Below are 20,924 nucleotides of genomic sequence, written 5' to 3'. Positions count from 1 at the left end.
GTGCGATGGGAAACCACTTCAGAAACTTCTTCCAACAGCGTCTCTCCCCATGTTGGAGGAGGGAGATACTTCCTCTTTAATTTTCAATGTCTCCTGTATCGCGTGCTTACAAAATTCAGTACCAGGGAGACACAGCAGGGCTTCCAAGGAATTTGCCCATTTTTTGCCTCCTCTAAGCGGTCCAAATTGGCGCGAGGCAGTCGGAAATAATTTGGGTCATGCCTTCTCCCCTGCAATTGCCAGGTCAAAACTCCCATAAGCAGTCCCCAAATAAACCATATGTACTAAACAAAAATAGTTTATGCTGAGCTCTGTGGAAATAAAAACTGGAACCCAGATATGTTCCCCACAAAGTCACTCGGCCCTTAATGAGCAGAACTGAGCTGGTGGAAATTCCGACTAATGGGAAACTTGGATGCGCCCCCTTTCCTATTTAGTACAACGGTCATATTTAGTAGAATCAGATAATTTGGTAAGAGTGGAAGTCCCCCTTCCCAACATTCCCCACCTCAGATGGGGAAATAACTTATTTCCTTACCTATTGACTGTTGGGCTTAGTTGAGACCTGGTGTGTATTTCTCGAGCCTTTTCAAGAGCCTGGTCATTGAAAAGCTAATCCAATATTTACCGAGCATAAGGACAGTTCTCAGACGTATTTATTAAGGCCCATCGCTAAGTGATTACTTGGACTGAAGACAAAGGCCAGGGGAGGGGGCGTCTAGGCATACCAGATCCTTCTCATTTGGGCTCTCCCCACCCAGAACCAGGAAACCGGGAGCGCGCTTGTGCGCTGCTGAAGTTCCCCTCCCGGTGTTAAGTGGCGGGCGGATTAGATACTGTGCTGGGCGGTATTTCAGGAAATATGTACTTGTGGCTCCCTGAGAGGCCAAGCGCAGTGACACTCTAAACCGTGTCGATATATCATCTTTTATCCAGGATCTGCAAATAAACCCCTGATCCCCCCGGCGCATTATAGCCGCCGCTATCTCGCCAAGGAAGCGATCTGAGTTTTATTGCTTTCACCAACGCCCCGAGACACACACACACACACACACACACACACACACACACACTCCTCTCTCGCACTCTGATTTTTAAAGGCTCTATTTTTTCCCTCCCGAGGCATCGTTATTAATAAAGAGGCGAATAGGCCTCAGCGCCGCCATCCGAGCAAGCGGGGAAATGTGGGCCAGCAGCCCAGGCCCGCGCGCGGATCCCGCGTACGCTCCACGCGCCCCCTCGGGCCGGAGAACCGAGCGTGTGCCGCGTGCTGCCGCCGCCAGGAGGCGCCCGAGCCCAGCGTTCCCGAGCGTCTCTGCGCGCGGGTCCGGGCAGAGCCCGGGAGCCGCCGGAGGCAGCTGCGCATCAGCGGACTCGCGGCCCGGGTCGGAGCCCGGTGAGTGGTGCCAAGAGGTGGCGGCGAGTCGGAACCTTGGGGAGAGCCGCGAGTCAGACGGCGGCGGGTGCCTGGGAGGTGCGAGTCGACCTGTGTTCGGCTGTGGTTTTCCCGCCATGCCTCTTCTCCTCCACGTGCGTACCACCGCCCGTCCCAGCCCCGGTTTCCATCGTGTTTGGGCACAGACCACAGCCGACTGGTCCAGGAGCGCTCTGGCCACTGGGAGGGCCCCACCAGGCGCCAGGGCGCGCTGTCTCCGCGATCTCAGGGCCCCTGGCGGCGTCGGCCGCGCGGGTGGACGCGGAGAGGGCGGTGCTGCGAGGGCCCGGAGAGTGGGTGCCCGCGTGGGGAGGCGGCCCGGGAGCGCGGGAGCGATGCGGAGGAGGGACCCGGTTTGGTTGCAGGTTTCCGGGGCGGGGGTTCCGGGAAGGAGAGACCCTCGCCTTCCGCCCGCCCTGGATCCGGGTCCCGCCGGACCCCCGGCTCCTGCCGTTCGTCGCCTGGAAGCGGGGCAGGCGCACAGTCCAGACGCCAGGGAGAGACGCCTCGCCGACCCAGACCGTGGGGTCAGGGCCCGGGAGGCAAGAACGCCCCACACACAGCAGGGCACCCCAGGCAACCCTCACTCCGTGCTGAGGCCTCGGCTAGGGTGCAAAGGTGTCCGGGAATGGAAGGGACACGAGGGTGTGGACGCCTCGCACTCTACTCACGCCTGGTGCCTTCTGAGAGGCTGGGCGTGGGGCAGAGGGTAGGGGACAAGGGGGTGACATTCCTTAAGGTCCTCCCCCCAACAAAAGTAGGGCCTGCAGTTCCAGCTTGATTCGTTGATTGTTGGGTGGAACCGCCTCACATCAAAGGCATCGTGGCTCCAAACACTGTCCCCTTTACTTTTCTAAGCCCCCGCTTCAAAACCAGCTGTCGGTGGGCCGGTGAGGGCGTCTGCAGTACCCAGGCTTTCCGCGGGGCGGCGCGGTTGGATAAGAAAAGGCTTCCCGGCTGGGGCGCGCAGCGCAGCTCAGACACCTGCGGGACTCGAGATGTCTCCGCGAGGTGTCCTCTACACCAGGGCTGCATTCCCTAAATAATGAAAACTCCCTGCCCTTGCACTTGGTGCCTGGAGTGCGATGAAGAGGCTGAAGGTATCCAGCCCGGCCCTTCTCCCCTCCCTCCTCAGACTGCTGATGTGACATGCGTGTAACTGTCACCCCACACAGGACGTGGAACACTTCCACCACCCCAAAATGTTCTCTTCTAATGGAATAACGTGTTCTGTCCTAACAAAAGAATAGCTCAATACTTAAAGGTATCAATTCAAAGCTGCAGATGAAAAATCTCATCCGCCCTTTGCTGCTTGTTCTCGCCTGTGGTATTTTTACCTTTCTTCATAAAATGATACAAAGAAAGCCCCAGGTCGCTGACCCCAGCCTCTCTCGCACCTGAAGACGATGACCATCACCGCTGCCACGTACTGAGCACCTTCTAGGCCAGGCTGCTTCTCCTCGTCGTCTAATCAGATCATCATAGCCAATCTGTCCTTCTGCAGAGGAGCCTGTTTCAGAGAAGTTAAGCACCCGATCTTATAATCAAGCCAGTGTTCTGACAAAGAAAAGCATTCTGGGAGTGGAGGTGGGATCTACCAGGGCGTCCTCTCCTATTCCAGAAGAGTGGGCAGGGGTGGGGGAGGACAAAGATGCCCTCCCACTCTGCAGAAGGCAGTTAGGTGACTTCTCCACAGGGCAGGGTTCTGCCAGTTCTCCTCTGGCAGCCAGTGCCCAGGTCCCATCCTGGTTGGTGGGGGCTGGGCCAACCCCTTGTCATCCTCGGGGAAGCCTGTATGTACACCAGCACCTCCACTGGGTGCCAAGTGGCCATCTCGGCCAGCGAGTGTCCCCTGAGAACTGAGGGGGAGTAGGCTGAGGGTGCACCTGAGGGGCACGCTCCGGAGCCTGTTCTCACTCCTGGGCCTGGGCCTGGGCCTTCCATGGTTTCGATGACATGAGCAACTCCCCTCTCCCCCCAGGATGATAATGTGTACCAAAAAATAGATTTTTCAGTAGCCAATTGATCTTACTGCTTTAATTAAATGATTACTTTTTTGCCTAATGTGGGGAAAAGGTAAAATAAGTTAACTTGTTCTTCTGTGCATAGTGTTGGGCTCCCTAATCTGAGAGATTTGCAACTTTTTGCTTTGTTTTGTTTCATTTTTTTTCTGAGACAGGATCTCGCTCTGACACCCAGGATGTAGTTCATTGATGCTATCATAGCTCATTGCAGCCTTGAACTCCTGGGCTCAAAAGAGCCTCCTGTCTCAGCCTTCCCAAGAGCTGGGACCACGGGCAGGCACCACCGTGCCCAGCTATTTTTTATTTTTGTGTAGAGATGTGGTCTCACTGTGTTTCCAAGGTTGGTCTCAAACTCCTGGCCTCAAGCTATCCTCCCACCTTGGCCTCCCAAAGCACTGGGATTACAAATGTGAGCCACTGTGTCTAACCACAAGAATTATTAAAAGGAATTTTACTTAAGTATCTACTTCCAGATCTCTCCATGTTTCTTTACTAGCTACAAAATAAAAGAATTACCCCATCAGCCTCTGTAGGGTAAGATGAATTGTGTGGAATGGGTATGAAATGAAGGATAGTTAGATGTAGAAGGTAAAACAAAAGGAATCAGCTTTTTGTGTCTGTGACAGAGGATCTGATACTTGATGGTCTGACCACAAGGCATCGCTCAGAAATCAGCAGTCCTTTTCACCCAGTGAACAGCCAGCTGCTTTGAGCAGAGAGAGCTGTGGTTGGAACTCCTGCTCTGTGACTCAGGGGAGGAGGCAGAGCTTGCCGCAGAATGCAGCCACTGCCCACAGCCCCTGTGCACTCCCTTTTCCCTTGTGCTGGCTTCCCGCTGCCAGCATCTGCAAGTCTCTGCCTGGAGGTGAGCAGGAGGGTGCTGGGCCCATTAGACAGGTGGCTAGGGCTGGGGAGTTCATGGTCTTCACGCAGTTTCAGGTGGAGGTTGCAGGATATATGGCCCAGCTTCCTGGCCCCAGGTGGAACAACCCTGAGACATGTTCGCCATTTCCCACAGGCCCCCAGTGGGACTGAGCCCTAGTTGTCTTCAGTGGCAATCTTCTCATTACCACCTCTCGTGTTGATTCTTTTTCCCTTCACTTTCTCATTTTTCCATTTCCTTGTTGGTCCCCATTAACTACTTGCACATGAATCTTTGTCTCAGGGTCTGCATCTGGGGGACCCCAAAGACACAGACACTTGAGCTGTTACTCTGCCTTTATCTTAGACCTAGCATTGGTCTCCAGAGGTCACTCATGACTTCAGGGCCTATTTTAATGGCCTCTTTCCCCATGTGTTCCTTGGGAATGTCCATTGTTGATGCGTCCTTCTGTACTAAGTAGAGTTTTTGGGCTGCAAGGAGGCAGTTAGCACAGGGAACTACGTAGTGAGGGACATGGAGACTAAACAGCAGCTGGCCCATCTCTCTGGCTTCTCATGGCCAAGCCTGGGACACACAGCTGCCCTCGTGCAGGTCCAGAACTATGGCACTTGTTCCCTCAGGACCCATCCTCAAAGCCAGTGACTTGGTCTTTTCCTATGACAAAGGAGCTCCCAGAATGTGGCAGTCCCCCTTCCTAGAGGGAGAATCTGACTGGGTCAGGGAGGCACCCCCGGTTTGCAGAGCCCCCATTGGTCAGGTTCAGTGTCCAAAACACCTGAGGGGCAAGTGGCTTCTCGAAGTCCAGCCCATATGGTTACTTTTGACTTGGACACTCAAGGCACAGGGACACATGACACAGGCACAGGGTGTGACAACTGCATGCAGAAAGAGCCACTCTCATTCCTCAGAAGAGGCTGTGGAGATGAGTGGCTGAGCCATGTGCCCCAAAATTCATGTTGAAGTCCTAACCCCCAGTATCTTAAAATGTGACCATATTTAGAAATAGAACCTTTAAAGAGCTAACTGGGTTAAAATGAATTCATTAGGGTAGGCCCTACTTCAGTATGACCGGTGTCTTTAGCAGAAGAAGAAATCGGTACAGACACGCAGAGGGGAGGGCATGTGAGGACATGGGAAGGAAATGCCACTTGCAAGCCAAGGAGAGAGGCCTCAGAAGAAACCAGCCCTCCTGACACCTTGATCCTAGACTTCCAGCCTCCAGAACTGTAAGAAAATACATTTCTGTTGTTTAAGCCACCTGGTCTTAGAGTTCTATCTTGAATTTCTCTCTGCTTCAGACTTTTCTGTTTTGTTTTTTAGCCTAAATGCTATTGAAAAGAGCAGAGAAGATAGAGTGCAGGCCCCTAGAGACAGGATGGAACGAAACACGCAGTGTGCATCTGTGTCCTGCTCAGCATACGCTCTTGGTCCCCACTGGGCCATCTCGCTGCTGACTGGCATCCCGAAGAACAGGCAGATTGCACAGGGGCAGCTCTTTCCTCCAAAGCTGCAATGTGGTGCATGAAGTCCTCAGATTTGGGAACTCATACAGGCACTTGAGCTCAAACATACAGTTCTGATCTAAGACATCACAGGTAAGAATATCCAAAAAGGTGAGCTTTCCCCCTGGAAACCATGACTTCCTCAGAAACAAGGAGAAATGTTTCAGCTGCCCAGGTTGCAGTTCCGAGTATGGAGGCTTCCATGTTTCATGTCAGGGTCATGGTGGAGCTGTTTCAGCTGCAGGTGGTATTCCACCATTTGGTCCTCCCTGATGTCTCCTGGCACCTTTCCTTCTTCAGTCTCAGCACTCTGAAGAAGCGTGCTTGTGAGCGCCGCGGGACGATCCAGGATGTCCAGGATTGTGGACGATCCTGTTCTTCCCATCTGTGAGGTAAGGCAGATTAGGAATGTCCACGTCTAGCTTGAATTTCACATCCAGCCATTGGCTGCCACCATGGCCAGGGGCTTCTGCAGATGGATCACCGTTTCCCTCCCAGGAGCAGGCAGGTGTCCAGTATCAGCCCCAGAACATCCCGGTCACCCATCTCCATAGGGCTTGGATGACATGATGATGCTCTCTGTGCCTCTGAGGACGGCGCCTTGGGTCTTTGTACACTAAATCCCACCTTGTCCTCTCCTCTATTTGAAACAGCCATTTCCCAAATCCCAATCTGATGAAATCCTGTTCTTCCTTCCCTCATGTTTCTCTAGGCCTCCTGTGGACTCCCAGAATGTAAAGTCAGCATTCCCTTGAGCCTTTTGGGGACTTATAAGCACATGGCCCAAGGTCCACCTAACTCTAGGTGTATCCTGTAGAACCAGTATTCTAATCCTAACTTTAAAGATCTTACAGGACCATAGGGTGTGCGTAAAAAGCCTGCTGCAAATCAGAGTGCTTCAACTGCGTATTAATGAGATGGAGGAAAGAGGCTGTGAGTGCAGACAATGAGTCCCTGAGTAAATAGACTCCAGAGCCAAAGGTGTTCTCCACACCGAAAGAATGACTGTACCCAGGGAAGGAGCTCAGACTCACCTGGACAAACCCTGAGGGGACAGCCATGTTCCAGTGTGGCTAGGAGGGTCTGGAGCTGGGCACGTCCCCCATGTCTGCTTGATTCCCCTCTGGCCGAGTTCTACTCAGGTGAGTTGTGCTCATTCTTGCTTCCCCAGGGCCTGGATCACAGTTCCTCAAGCTTTGGGATACAAACGAATCACCTGGGATTTGGATAAAATGCAGATTCGTGTTCAGCAGCCCTGGCATTCTGCATTTCTCATGAGCTCCAGGGAGACGCTGGTGCTGCTGGGGCAGGACCACACTTTGGGTGGCAAGGGCTTGGCAGGCAATTCCAGGTGTCACCCTAGAGATGGCCTGCTATTGCACTGTCAGTAGGTAGCTGCCACAGTGACGGCCGCTCCAGATCAAGGGGAGGACCTTTTGAAAAGGGTCCTTGAATCATTTGGGAAATAAATCAAGCCATATGAGTAAAAAGTAATCAAAAAATATGTTGAATATTGGAACCAGAGGAAATCTTAGCATCATTTTGTAATGACTCCCTCCACGAATTTTCCAGATAAGGAAACTGACAAAGCCAGGTGGCCTGTGGCTGAGGAGCGAGACGGTCAGCGAGGTCTCCCTGCTGCACTCTCGTGCACTTCCACAGTGAAACCCTGCTGAGAGACACAGGAAATGTTGAACATAGTGTCTTTAAAATTAAGACTATGACTGCCCTAAACATTTACAAAGCACAAACCATGAGAAAAAAGCCTGTACCAGAAATCAGAAGATGGCTTTTGTCCATGTGCAACCTTGGACAAGTTAATTACTTATCGCTGCTCTCTGAGCCCGTTTCCCCACTGGTTACCGAAAAAATAGAAAAGGATATGCCTGCCCTTCCTAATTCACAGGGCATCGCAGGGAGGTAGGTAGTTAATATGCTGAACCACTTCAAAACGGTGGAGCTGAACTCACAGCAGGAACCCTGTCACACCTTTCCATGACAAGGATATCAGTGGGGTGAGGGAGGTGGGGAGAGGCATGAGGATGGGAGACAAAGGAGTGGGGTGGGGGGCGGGGGAAGGAGGAAGCCAGAAGGACAGGCCCAGGCTAGGCTCTGAAGTCAGCAGGTGAGCGAGGTAGAGAACTAGCAGCACCACTGTCCATGGATATTTGCGGTGATGGAAATGTACTGTATCCATGTTCTCCAATATGGCAGCCACTAGCCACATGTGGCTATCAAGCGCTAGAAATGTAGCTAGTGTGATCGAGGAACTGATCTTTAATTTTTCTTTAATTGTTATTAATTTCCATTTAAATAGCCACATGTGGCCAGTGGCTTATGTAGCAAAGATCTAGATCATTTGTTTGAAGCAGTAAAAAGAGAAATGTGAATCCCCTCTTCTTACCTCCTATAACATGCTAATTAACATCACTGCAATTAACCACCATTCACAGCTCTTCAGCTGCTCTGTGGAACCTCAGCCCACTCTGAAATGAACAGCCGCAGTGGCAGGGGTTACAGAATGGGCTGGGAGTGGCAATGTAGATTTATCTCTTCACACACTCTATGCCCTCTATCAAAAATGCCTCAGGCTGTGTAAAATTCCACAAATAATAAAGAGATTTTAAAAATGTGAGTCTTGATTGATTCCTTACTATGTATCTGGCTGGAATTGGGGTGGGGGGAAGCAAAGAGAGTGGCTGAGCAGTAAGAAATGGCCATTACTGCTCAGCTGGAGGGAAGAATGGTGCCACCTTCCAGAGGTTCTTAACACTTTGTGTCCCACAGGCCCCTTTGCCAGGCTGAAGACTCCTATAGAACCCTTCTCAGAAGAATGAGTTTAGGTTATAAAGTAAATTAGATTAAGAGGTAATTCTACCCCTTGGGGATGAGGGACTGCAGATTAAGGACTCTTATCCTGCAAAGGGTGACAGAGTCCCTTTGCTCCGGCACCTCTGCCCCTCCCCCACCAGCTGCCCTTTGTGCCAACCCCGGGTGAGTCAAGGAAAGGAAAGGACCAGCCAGGACTTCCCCCTCCCCTGGGAGGGTGCCATGGAAGGCAGAGGACTGCTCTCTGTGTCAGAGCCCCTGCGGTCACCATGGGCTACAACACGGTGAGACAACAGAAGGAACAGTATTGAAGGGCAGCTCTGCCCTGAGGTAGAATTTTGGTCTTAATGGACATGTAGGCTGGGTGAGGGGCTGAGATGTGCTGCAGCATTTGCTCTTATGTTAACCCTTCCCCACTCCCATCTCCTTTCTGTGAACATAATGGCATTTCATAAAATTAGGCATGCTATCTATCAGCAAAAGGTGAAAATTTAACAGGGCAAATTGAAATAACCACTCTTGATGCAAACACCCTTTTAAACTTTATCACCCTGATCCTATGCAATTAGACAAAGGAATTATGAACACCGCTGTCCAGCGCCTTCCCCAGACTCCCTGGGTGAAATGAAAGAGGTTCTAGTGGAGACTTGGTGGGCCAGGGCGGAGAGGCTGCCTGTGCAGGGGCTGCTGAAACAATGACCGAAGCTGGGTTAATTAATCAAATGAGGAGGCGGATGAAAATCCGTGTTGCAGCAGTAACCCAGAGGGTTCACATGCAGAGGCCACAACATAAACAAGGCAATCCACACTTGTCTGAATCCTTACTGTTAATGAATATAAAGTTGGAGGATCATGTTCTGATTTGAGTTCAACTATGTGGCTGAAAAGTACGAGAAGACAATACTGAATGCTTTAATAAAAATCCCCAAAAAAAAAAACTGGTAATATTATATTCAACAGGAAGTTATCCACTCTTATATGATTTTTTCTTTTTGTTTCCCCAACATTTATAATATATACATTTATGCCACAATATAGCCTTCACGAATTCTGATAAGGCTGGTCTTAAAAGCAAATGTATTTCTTTCAACATTCTAATACCCCATCAATTTAAAATGTTCTTCAGATTTTACAAGACATGAAAGTTATTCAAATAGAATTTGGATGAATATTTTAATGACCGTTTAGTAATAGAATGAAGCTGTTCATGGTTGTGGCATGTACTAAAAACATACTTTTACATTTAATATCGACATTTTAGAGCTTTCTGCTGAAAATTTCAATAAAGTCTGTGTCTAAAACGTATTATGGGCCATTGCCTCTTCATAAAATTGACACAATATGCTATACCATTTTGTACACAATGAAACTCTTAATAAGCATTAAAACTATGTGTCCTTTCTGAGTTAAATAAACAATTTAAATGCAGTGTGAATAACCACCAGAATTAAAAGCAGTCTCTGCGGAGTAGGTCGAGGCGATTTAAACTGCCCATTTTGTGCCTCCTACATTGTTTGAATGTATATTTCTACATGCATAATTCCAGCAATAATAACAAGAATAGCTAAAAATATGTATCTTTTCAAACACAATTAATCACAAAAATAAAAGGCAGTAATTTGAGACATAAAATTCTGAAACTATTCCAGATGACTTTTTAATATGAACAAAAATTCCTGCCTTTTATACCAGACTTCAGAAAATAAAGGACATTACTAACTAAAACCTACCCATCTTTTAAAAATTGGATTACTTGGCCAGGCACAGTGTCTCATGCCTGTAATCCCAGCATTTTGGGAGGCCGAGGCAGGCGGATCTCCTGAGGTCAGGAGTTCCAGACCAGCCTGACCAACATAGTGAAGCCCTGTCTCTACTAAAAATACAAAAATTAGCCAGATGTGGCGGCTCATGTCTGTAATCCCAGCTACTCGGGAGGCTGAGGCAGGAGAATTGCTTGAACCCGGGAGATGGAGGTTGCAATGTGCCGAGATCATGCCACTGCATTCCAGCCTGGGTGACAGAGCAAGACTCCCTCTCAAAAAAAAAAAAAAAAAAAAAAAAAAAAAAAAAAAAAAAAAAAAAAAAAGGGTTATTTATTCTTAATAATTCCAGACTCACTAAGGACCGCCCAATAATTGATTATATTCTTGAAAAATTGTAGTTTGCACTATTTCGGTGAAATTTAAGGAGACTGGCCCTTTTTTCTTCTTTTACTGCGTATCATTGTTTTCCCCCCAACACGAGGAAGTGGTCCCCAGCTTACTCAAAGCAAAACAGTGCCCCTTCTCCCTCTCCACTGGCTGCCCTCTTGGTCTTTCCTGATACATTAGCAGTACAGCCTTATCTTCAGGCTCACAAGCTGACAAAATATTTCAAGGATGTCTGCATTCAGAGTGCTGATTCACTTCTTCCCCTGCCCATTCTCCCAACAAGTCCAGGCAAAGCACTGGGCTGCAAAGCACTGAGTACAGCACCTGTCTGTTGTGGGTGTTTAGTACAAAGTCATCTCCCTCATTATCTTCCTATTACTACCATTATGATTATTTGAATGTGAAGTAATGGTTTAAAGTCCCAGCCAGCTGGGCGCAGTGGCTCACGTCTGTAAATCGCAGCACTCTGGGAGGCCGAGGCGGGTGGATCACCTAAGGTCAGAAGTTCGAGACCAGCCTGGCCAACATGGTGAAACCCCGTCTCTACTAAAAATACAAAAATTAGCTGGGCATGGTGGCACGCACCTGTAATCCCAGCTACTCCATGAGAGTCACTTGAACCTGGCAGACAGAGGTTGCAGTGAGCTGAGATCGCACCACTACACACCAGCCTAGGCAACAGAGGGAGACTCCGTCTCAAAAAATAATAATGATAAAATAAAATAAAGTCCCAGTTCTGTGATCAACTAACCCGAGTTTAGCTCTGAGGAATACTGGACTATATTAAATGTGATTATTTGCATAAAGCCTTTAGCATGGGCTCTGGTTAAGTGACCTCTTAATGAGTATCAGCTAATTTTATTAATAACAGGTACCAGTTAGTCTTCTTTCTTCAGTTTTTTCCACCAGTCTTGACTGGTTCTACATATTGTTTCAAATAAACCTTTGTAAATGTGGTTTTGTACATTCTTGCTTTAAAACATGGCACGGGGCTTCACTACCATTCACTTCCCTGGCTGGGTGCCTGCCCCTGCCACCTACTTCCCCACTGCAGGCCTAGAACAGCCTTCTGACCTATACCAGAAAGTCTTTCCATCTACCCTAAACGGCTGCATCTCTCTCCTACCTTGGTGCCCAATTTCTAGGTTTTCTTTCAACTGATGGAGGGGTTTAGTCCTGTGCATCCACCGCACTCCTCAGCTTGGCTGGCGGTGACTCAAGGGCAGAATCTGAGTCCCACTCCTGGTAGGTACTCAATGTTCGCGGTTGTTGATGAAATAAAATGAGGAAATGCTATAAAGCCCATAAAGCATGGTAGAAATGAAAGGTGTTCATTAAAATGTCACTTTTACATAGATTATTAATCATCATGATCAGAGAACTCTGAAGTGCATTAACAATCCAGGATCCTTCCAGATGATCCGTCTTTCTTCCTGGCATTTGTCACCTAATGAATCTTGAATGTGGAGCCTGTGAGAGCTCTAGTTTAATAAAGATCCAAGTGATAGGCTGTGCTCAGCTCTCCTGAAAAAGTTAATAGGGAACGTGCACTCCAAAAAGCCCTGGGCCAACGCTGTGAAAAGCAAAGGAGTGTGTCAAAGAAAAATACACACCTGTACCAGTCTCCCCAATGTCAGTACCTTAGTGAATCTTAAAACTTCTTAATCAGGTTGTATGAGCCTTTGTTTATTTTTCTCTCTGGAGTTAAGACAGGCTTATTTTTAATTTTTAAAAATACATATTTCTTTTTCTTTTCTCACCTATAATGCCAAATTTGATAACAAAGACAGCTTTAACCAAAGAAACACACCGCTAGGTTTTCTACGATGCTTTTAGAAGTCAGGATTTGGGATGTGCTATGAAAAGATGTCAGTTGGACAAATATAAAGTTCTTTTCCACATACTCATAAATACATTTTATAATATGCTATTGAATGTTTACTTTCATGATATCAATGGTATATTTTGTCAACAGGACAAGCTTTGATTTTTTTATTTGTTATTTTTGGTATTTCAATTATTCCCTTAAGGTAAGGAGAATCTGCTTTGAATACTTCTGTATTATAATTCCTTTTTTTAAAAGCCAGTTTATGGCTTCTCATCTGCCAGGCCAATTAAACCTACCAAAACAATTCTCTATATTTGGAGACTTCCTGCTGAAAAGGACACTTTTAAATTTTTTTCTTTAACTTTGTATTTTGAAGTTATTTTAGACTTATCCAAAATTACAAAAATAGTTCAGAGAGTTTCCATCTACCCTTCACCCAGACTCCTCAAATATTAACATATTGACATAACCATTGTGTGACTATCAAAACCAGGAGATTAACTCTGGTGTGACCTTCCTAGCTACAGACTTTACTTGGATTTCCCCGGTTTCCCCACTGCTGTCCTTCTGGCCAAGGACCAACTCCAGGACCCCACTTTCCATTCAGTTGTATCTTCTTATTTCTTCTCCAATCTGGGACAGTCCCTCAGTCTTCCCTTATCTTTCATGACCCTGAAACTTGTAAAGAGTACTGGTCAGTTACCTTGTAAATGTCTTTCAATTTGGGTTTATCTGGTGTTTTCTCATGATTGAGAGTAAACTGTGCATTTTTTTTTTTTGCAAGAATACCACCGAAGTGATGTTGGGCTTCTCTCAGTACATGATATCAAGCGTGTATGATGTTAATGTTGTATCACTGGTGATATTAACCTTGATCTGTTGGATAAAGTGCTATCTGTCTGGTTTCTCCACCATAAGTTTACTATTTTTCCTCTTTGTAATTAGCAAATATCTTGGGATGGGGTACTTAGACCATGAAAATAGCCTGTTCCTCTTCAAATTTTGCCCTCTGGTTTTAGCATCTATCGATGGATTTGGGCTGCAGCAATTATTAGTGTGGCATTGGCCTATTGGTAGTTTTGTATTTCTCTCCTTTGCAAGCACACTTTTGAATAGACCAGATGCTTTTCAAAATAGAGGTCATCTTCTTGGAGATTTCTTCTTAATGGTAACTTCTAAAGATGTTAAAAGCTATCTCCAAGGTCATCTCAGGGCATCTACTTTCTTCCCCATACCCCAACAATTGTTCACAGTTGAGTTTTGTCTTCATACTTAAAGTGTGCTCTCTGTGTCTCTGTGGGTATTTTAGTGTTCATTAGCTGGAATCTTCTTCCAAAGGATACAGCAACTTGTACTCGAAACAAATAAGACCATGCCAAAGGTGGCCACAGACCTCTGCTTTGTCCTGTTTCCAGGACGGCACTGACCATCCATGTTCAATAAGAGTACCTTATTCTCTTTGGTTTCCCAAAAGAAACATGGCCCAGGTGTGATGTGGGTTGTTTACCCAAGAGATGGAGGACTGAGCAATCTTCCACCCTAAAATATAAGAGGCTTTATAAGAAAAAACTTCCTGTGAAAGGGTCAAGTCTACCTAAGAACTATGAGTTATTCAAAATCCACAAGGAAAATAACGATGGCCCTGATTTTCATAAGAAGACATTTGGAAACAGGATTGAGAAAAGTGTTGCTCAAAACAGGAGCTGCCCAACCCAGGTGAAATCTGAAGTCTTAATTCTGAAGTAATTCTCTTGCTGTCTAAGTTATCCATACCCAGCCAGGTAAGCTCTCAATACCGAAGACGGGGAGTGCTGTTGATGCCGATTTAACTCCCAGTATTGCAAAATGAGGCTGCGTTTTTATTGCCTTTACAATGCATTATATTTCGTTATAAAGTTGCCTTTATAGTGAAGAGTGCTGAGATGACAACAAGTCAATTTTAGATGATAACTTCTCATCACTCATTAAAAGAAAATGATTTTTAATCATCGTAGTTCACATTTGCTGAGTATTTACTATGTTCAGGTACTGTTGCAAGTGCTTTCTATGTATTAACTCATTCTATCCTGACAATATCCCTATGTGACAGTACTACTCACTGCAACCATTTCATAGATGGGAAAACAGCATCGTGGAAAGGATTAAGTTACTTGCTTGAAATTACACAGTAAATAGCAGACCTGGGATTCAAATCCATGCTGTCTAAAGCCTGAGCTAGTATCTTAACCTTTTTGCTCTACTGGCTACAAAACGAATAGCTCATTCAGTAGTATCAAATAAAAGGCAAATGCTATCTTTTGTAATGTGAAATGTCAGAGAGGATGCTTAGAAAAATCACCACCAGACACCATCTGTCAATCCATAGTCCAACCTTAGTTGTTATAATTACATCTCACAGATATCATACATGTCTATCATGGAGCACAGTGAAGGCAGGAAGCAAAGGTACCTCTCATACCTGAGTGCATACTTACCTGAAACCCAACTCCCTTCCCCTCCTTCCCCACCTGACTTCCATCGGTAAAAGGAATGGGGATCGGAATGAATCCACTTATCATCAGAACTCTATGTGCTGGGCAGCTCCAGAGAAAGCTAATCTCAGCTAACAGGAGAACTCTTTTCTTCATTTCTTTTTCTTTTTTTCAAAGATGGGGTCTTGCTACGTCTCCCAGGCTAGAGTTCAGCGGCTATTGACAGGTGCAGTCATAGCTCACTGCAGCCTGGAACTCCTGGGCTCAAGTGATCCTTCTGCCCCTCAGCCTCTGGTATAGTTGGGACTACAGGTGTGACCCACTGTGCCTACTCCTGAGGATTCTTTTGGTGAAAGTAAGCCTCAAAGCAAAGAACAGGTCTTTTAGGATCATCTCTGGGTAATTCTAGAAAAAAAAAAAGCTGGTCAAAGTAATGCTACTAGAAGAAATAGGTTTTCTTTATGTCACACTGGAGTCTTTGGAAGAAAGTGAATAGCCCCTGGCTGTGGCTGGTGTGTTTTTGAGAATGCATTCAAGCAGCTGCAACAGCGCTGTCAGGGAGTGAAAATGGGAAGGGCAGTGCCCACAGCACATCCCAGCCCATAGAACTACAGCTGGTGCAGCCATCATTCTCAGAGCAACAGAACCCCGGGTAGGGAGAGCTCCTCTAACACCCAAATGAAGAAAAAGCCACTAGAGTTCATAAGAAAGAAAGAGGAATTGAAATCTGGGACTGCTTTCCTTCTAAGAAGGAGGCAAGTGTCCTAAGGGAGGTGGTGGAGAAAAGGAGAGACTTAAAAGTGTCAGAGGAGAAAAGGGGGGATGGGGAGACAGAGGCACTCTGCCCTATTCTTCAAAGGGTTTCGTAGAACTGTCACCTAGATTTCCACTCCTGTTTCTTTCAAATTTTTTATTCCTCCCAGAACAGCAGCTCTCTGAGGTGTCAGGAAGAAAGCAGTATTGAATTACTTGACATTAAAATGTAAATAGCTGCAGGACTCAGTCTCCTACAGATCTTGGCATTTCAGAAGGAGGATAAAGAGTCTCTATTTGGTTGGATTCCAGGCATGGTCATAAGTGAAGACCGTGTACATGATGTATAGGTGGTTATGGGCAGAATACGCCAACACAGAGAGACACCAGTTCTGTGCAAGTACCTTTCCTCAGGCTCCAGCTTCATACCCCTAGTTGTTACTGCTTTTCTTGGGCTTCTTTTCATCTCCACTGCATTGACTGAGATCCCTTCACTTTCTCTCATACAAACAGGGGCACCAGTAGCTTTTGGGTTTGGGTTTGGAGGCATGGAGATACAGCAGCACAGTGACAGTCTTTGTACGGTTGACAGATTTTTAATTCAGGTGTTCTGGCTATATATTGATGCTTAACAAATCACCACAACATTTCGTGGCATAAAACACCATTTGATTCTGTGCACAGATTGTGCAGGCCAGGAATTCAGGCAGAGCAGAGTAGAGACAGTTTATCTTTGATTCTCAGTGTCTGGGTCCTCAGATAATCTAAACTGGAGGCTAGAGCCAGAGTGCTGGAGGAATCACCTCCAGGAAAGCTTCATTATTCCCATGTGTGGTCCCCGGGCTGGGAAAGCTAAAAGTGGGCTCAGCTCAGACTGTCATGGACTATCAACCAGATGACTACATGTGCCCTTGCCAGCATGGTGGTCTTAGAGTAATTGAACATCTTACCTGGGCATCTTAGAGTTCCAAAAGCCAAGATTCCCTAAGGAAAAGACAGAAGCTTTATGACTTTTTATGACTTGGTCTTGGTCACAATGTAATTCTTCTGCCACACTGTATTGGTCAAAGCAGTCCACCCAGATTTAAAGGGAGAAGATAGGTCCCACCTTGTTATGGTCTTAATATGGCCCCCAAAATTTGTACATGGGAGCCTAAAATCCAAAGTGATAGTATTAAGAAGCGGAGGCTTTAGGAGGTTAAGTCATGTGGGCAGAGCCCTTGTGGATGAGATTCTGGCCCTTATAAAAGGGCTTCAGGAATGGGTATGCACTCTTCCGCTCTTCCACTGCACAAGGACACAGTATTCATCCCCTCAGGAGGATACAGCAACACGGAACCATCTCGGAAGCAGAAACGGCTCTCACCAGACACCAAACCTGCTGGTGCCTTGGTCTTGGGCTTCCCAGCCTCCCAAACTGTGAGAAATAAATTTCTGTTCTTTATAAATTACCCAGTCTCAGATTTTTTTTAAATAGCAACACAAGCAGACTAAGTCACAACTCTTGATAAAAAGAGGTTTAAAGAATTTGCAGCTGCATTTTAAAGCTGCCACAAGGAGGTGCTTTTTGAAACAAAAGACTGCTTCTGCCGCATGTTTATTTCCCATGAAAATTTTCCAGGAAGCCATTGAGAATGTTGCTCTGGCTATATTCAAGTGGTTCCTAAACTATAGAATGTGTAAGAATCGCTGAGGAGCTTGTGAAAAGTACACATGCCTAGGCTCCACCCCCACAGCTTCTCTCTTATTGCTCTACTTATCACCTGTAACCTGCACCCAGGTCAATCTGATATTTCTCTTTATTATTTGTTTTTCTTTTTGTATCTTTTCCTCTGCCCCTCTTAACTGATTTAGAAGTTATACAATCCATTTCTATTCTTTTAGTGGAAACTTTGAAATTTTACCTTGCACATTTACTTTAATAGTCTTATACTAATATCTTAACATTTCTCCTTTAATACTTTAGAACATTTAACTCTGATCACCCATTTCTCAAATGAAGGCCTGCTGATGTTTAATGTTTTAGTGCTATACATTTTGGATTCCAATCCTGCCACAGACGCTGTTGAGTGCCCTGCCATATCTCCCCAGTCAAGCCTGGAAGTCACCAGCAGCTTCAGTGGACAGTTCTTACACACATTGATGGCTGCCTGTCTCAAGCACCTGCATATCTCTTCTGAGGGTTTTCATTGATTGCAGGAGCATATTCTGCAGGCCAGAAAAGCTGACGCCAAAAGGCAGTTCTCAGCCAATACAAAACAGCAGTTAGTAGATAAATGCCCCAACTTCATCACTCTTTGGTGAGAAAATTCTAAAATGTGCCACACACAGATTTTCAGAGGATTCCCAGTGGGGTTGAGCCCTGTTGTCAACAGCAAGCAGTTACTTGCTCATTGATGCATCTTCTCTTGGCTTCCTTTCTGCTATGGACCAAATGTCTGTGTGTCTCTCTGAAATTTATATGTTGAGATCCTAACTCCCAGTGTGATGCTGTTAGGAAGTGGGGACTTTGGGAACGATTAGGTGAATAGGATTGGTCCCCTTATAAAAAGACACAAAAAAGCTCTCTCTCCTTCTCTCTGCTCTCTGCCACATTAGGTACAATCAGAAGTCAGCTGTCTGCAATCCAGAAGTGGGTCCCCACCAAAACCTGGCCATGCTGGCCCTGTAATCTTAAACTTCCAGCCTTTAGAAAAGAGAGACATAAATTTCTGTTGTTTATAAACTACTCAGTCTATGGTACTTTGTTACAACAGCCTAAAACTTAATATTTTTCTTGAATAATACTTTAGAACATTTAACTCTGATCACCCACTTCTCAACTGAAACCCTACTTTGTTTAATATTTTAGTGTTATACATTTTGAATTCCAGTCCTACCAAAGATGCTATTAGTGACATGCTGTATCTCTCCAGTTGAGCCTGGAAGTCACCAGCAGCTTCAGTGGACAGTTCTTACACACACTATTCGCTTCCTGTCTCAAGACTAAGACACTTCACTCCCCTATTGATGCTTCCTGGCATCATTTCCCAAATAAAGGATTTGTACCTAAATATTCGTCTTAGGCTCTGCTCGGGGAAGAACCTGAACTAAGACAGGCTGCCCCACAGATTAGAACTTTGTATTTTATGTAGAACAAACTTTAGATATGCCATGCTTACTAAATCCTTTGCTCATCTTTCCTTCCTCTAGCTCTGACATTTCTTCTAGTTTCATTTTCCTTCTTAAAGAACATGCTTTGGTGGAAAGATCTAAAGGGGCAATTCTGAACCTCTCATCTGGCAGTGGCATGTTCCCTGTCCCACTGTTGACCATTTATTCTGCAACCAAGACTTTTGTAGATTTCTTCTCTCGGTGCCTCCATGAGGAGTATAGGAGCAAGGGCATCTTTGTGCAGAGTGTCCTGCCATACTTTTTAGCTACAAAACTGGCTAAAATCCAAAAGCCAACTTTGGATAAGCCCTCTTCGGAGACGTTTGTGAAATCTGCAATCAAAACAGGAGGCCTGCAAATCCTGAACCAATGGATACCTGATCCATGCTCTTCTGGGCTCCATAATCTCAATCCTGCCTTCTTGGATTTATTTTAAAATAACCACAGATATGAACAAGTCTACACGGCTCACTATCTGAAGAAAACCAAGAATAACTAAGCATTGATAACTACATTTTAACTTGGCCAGATGCTCCAGCCTATGCATGTTCACTGCAAGGCACACTACTGGTCTTGAAAATCTGAAGTTGTCGTTTGACCAAATGTTAATTAAGAGGAAAACAGAAGTTGATTTTAGGAGTCTCTGACATATATTCTGGATACTACCAGAAGTAATTTTGAAGTTTAATATAAATGCTCATATCAAATGAATATAGAACCAATATTGTTGAGAACAGCTAATAGGAAGGAATACTATTATAGCAAATCACACAATGATAGACTCAAACATAAAACTCAGCAGTTTTATCTGCTCCAAAATGCCATTGATCATTATTCCTGTATTTTCTCTGAAGCTGATTATAAAAGGTAATGTCCAGCTATTCTTTTGTTTTTGACACTTTGAAGAAATGGTGATTAATTGATTTGATTTGTTTATAAGTGGACACACTGCAGTTTACAAAGATCTCTTTAAGGTCTTACAAAATTATGTTCCAGTTTGGACATTTATATAGAATTGTTCTTTATCAAGGGTAGCTAATGACATAAAAATAATTATGAAATATGGAGTTGTTTCTGACACACGAAACCCACTAAACTATGCTTTCTTGTAATGCATATTTCTTCTCAGTTTAAATGTATGTAAATATCGAAGCTATATGGTATGATTTATAAAGATAAATGGGCCAAAGTGTACATTGAAACTGGCACCCATCTATGGTACCACTGAAACCCTGACCCAGAAAAGTGGCCTGCTTGGACACCCAGCCTTCTTTATTTCTGCATTGCACCAATAATGCTCACACATGTGACACAGGCTAGTCCTATAAAAGTAATGACATCATAGAAATGTCATTATAATTTTTAAATTGATACTCTATAGGTAGGTACTAATATAATTAGTTTTAATAAAATATGCTGTAACCACGGTATACAACACAAATACATTTCTTTGGTGATTGAAATTAAGGCCACATTTACACTGACTTGATGTAAGACTGAGTTTTATCCTGCTTCATAACTTGTATGGAGAACTCACCAAGAAAGAATTCAATACTGTGAAATATGCAACAAAAAGATTGGCTTTTACATAGGCTGTGGTTCCTAAGCTCTGAGATTTAAGCACCAGTAGATTTGTATTTAAAAAAAAATTGGGGCCTTAGTTGCTGGCTTTAATTTTGCCAGCTAAGGACATAAAACAAAAACAAACAAATAATAAAAAAAAATAACCATCTGCTATCAACACCATTATGTAAAAGAAAACATATTTTAGCCCCTAAAATTAGGAAGAACATAATTTCAGAATAAAGGTTATCATTTAAATTGAATAAATATAGCTTTATGAAAAACAAAGAATATGCTTTAGAAATTTATTGGCCGGGCACGGTGGCTCACACC

The 20,924-nt window shown here is 45.2% G+C and overlaps 1 long non-coding RNA gene and 2 pseudogenes across 3 annotated transcripts, besides 4 other annotated features; 2 read left to right on the top strand and 1 right to left on the bottom strand.

Annotated features, from left to right (window-relative positions):
* The first annotated feature begins 1,333 nt into the window (after positions 1–1,333).
* On the top strand, positions 1,334–8,474 carry LOC112268271 (translation initiation factor IF-2). Of its 3 annotated transcripts, none has more exons than NR_171652.1 (6): positions 1,334–1,396; positions 5,389–5,568; positions 5,641–5,937; positions 6,061–6,236; positions 6,699–6,986; positions 7,417–8,474. It is a non-coding gene; the product is annotated as a translation initiation factor IF-2 (long non-coding RNA). The 3 variants fall into 3 exon arrangements; NR_171653.1 differs by having other exon boundaries at positions 1,334–1,530; positions 5,427–5,568; positions 6,145–6,236; positions 6,557–6,986; NR_171654.1 differs by having other exon boundaries at positions 1,334–1,530; positions 5,424–5,568.
* Positions 1,502–1,571: an enhancer, noted in NCBI's record as "active region_17625". NCBI's record gives its function as "activates an Ori minimal core promoter by ATAC-STARR-seq in GM12878 lymphoblastoid cells {active_cell/tissue: GM12878}" and the evidence as "EXISTENCE:reporter gene assay evidence [ECO:0000049][PMID:35858748]".
* Positions 1,997–2,497: an enhancer, noted in NCBI's record as "H3K4me1 hESC enhancer chr20:21485880-21486380 (GRCh37/hg19 assembly coordinates)". NCBI's record gives its function as "activates a minimal SCP1, AML or CMV promoter by ChIP-STARR-seq in primed H9 embryonic stem cells {active_cell/tissue: H9 hESC(primed)}" and the evidence as "EXISTENCE:reporter gene assay evidence [ECO:0000049][PMID:30033119]".
* Positions 2,319–2,368: a silencer, noted in NCBI's record as "silent region_12717". NCBI's record gives its function as "represses an Ori minimal core promoter by ATAC-STARR-seq in GM12878 lymphoblastoid cells {active_cell/tissue: GM12878}" and the evidence as "EXISTENCE:reporter gene assay evidence [ECO:0000049][PMID:35858748]".
* Positions 4,047–4,176: a silencer, noted in NCBI's record as "silent region_12716". NCBI's record gives its function as "represses an Ori minimal core promoter by ATAC-STARR-seq in GM12878 lymphoblastoid cells {active_cell/tissue: GM12878}" and the evidence as "EXISTENCE:reporter gene assay evidence [ECO:0000049][PMID:35858748]".
* Positions 5,770–6,343, bottom strand: GSTM3P1 (glutathione S-transferase mu 3 pseudogene 1; annotated as a pseudogene).
* Positions 19,115–19,724, top strand: HSD17B12P2 (HSD17B12 pseudogene 2; annotated as a pseudogene).
* Positions 19,725–20,924: the final 1,200 nt, after the last annotated feature.

Source organism: Homo sapiens, chromosome 20 (genome assembly GCF_000001405.40).
Source record: "Homo sapiens chromosome 20, GRCh38.p14 Primary Assembly".
NCBI lineage: Eukaryota > Metazoa > Chordata > Mammalia > Primates > Hominidae > Homo > Homo sapiens.
The sequence above is the reverse complement of the archived record's forward strand: the minus strand, read 5'-3'. Positions and strand labels throughout refer to the sequence as shown.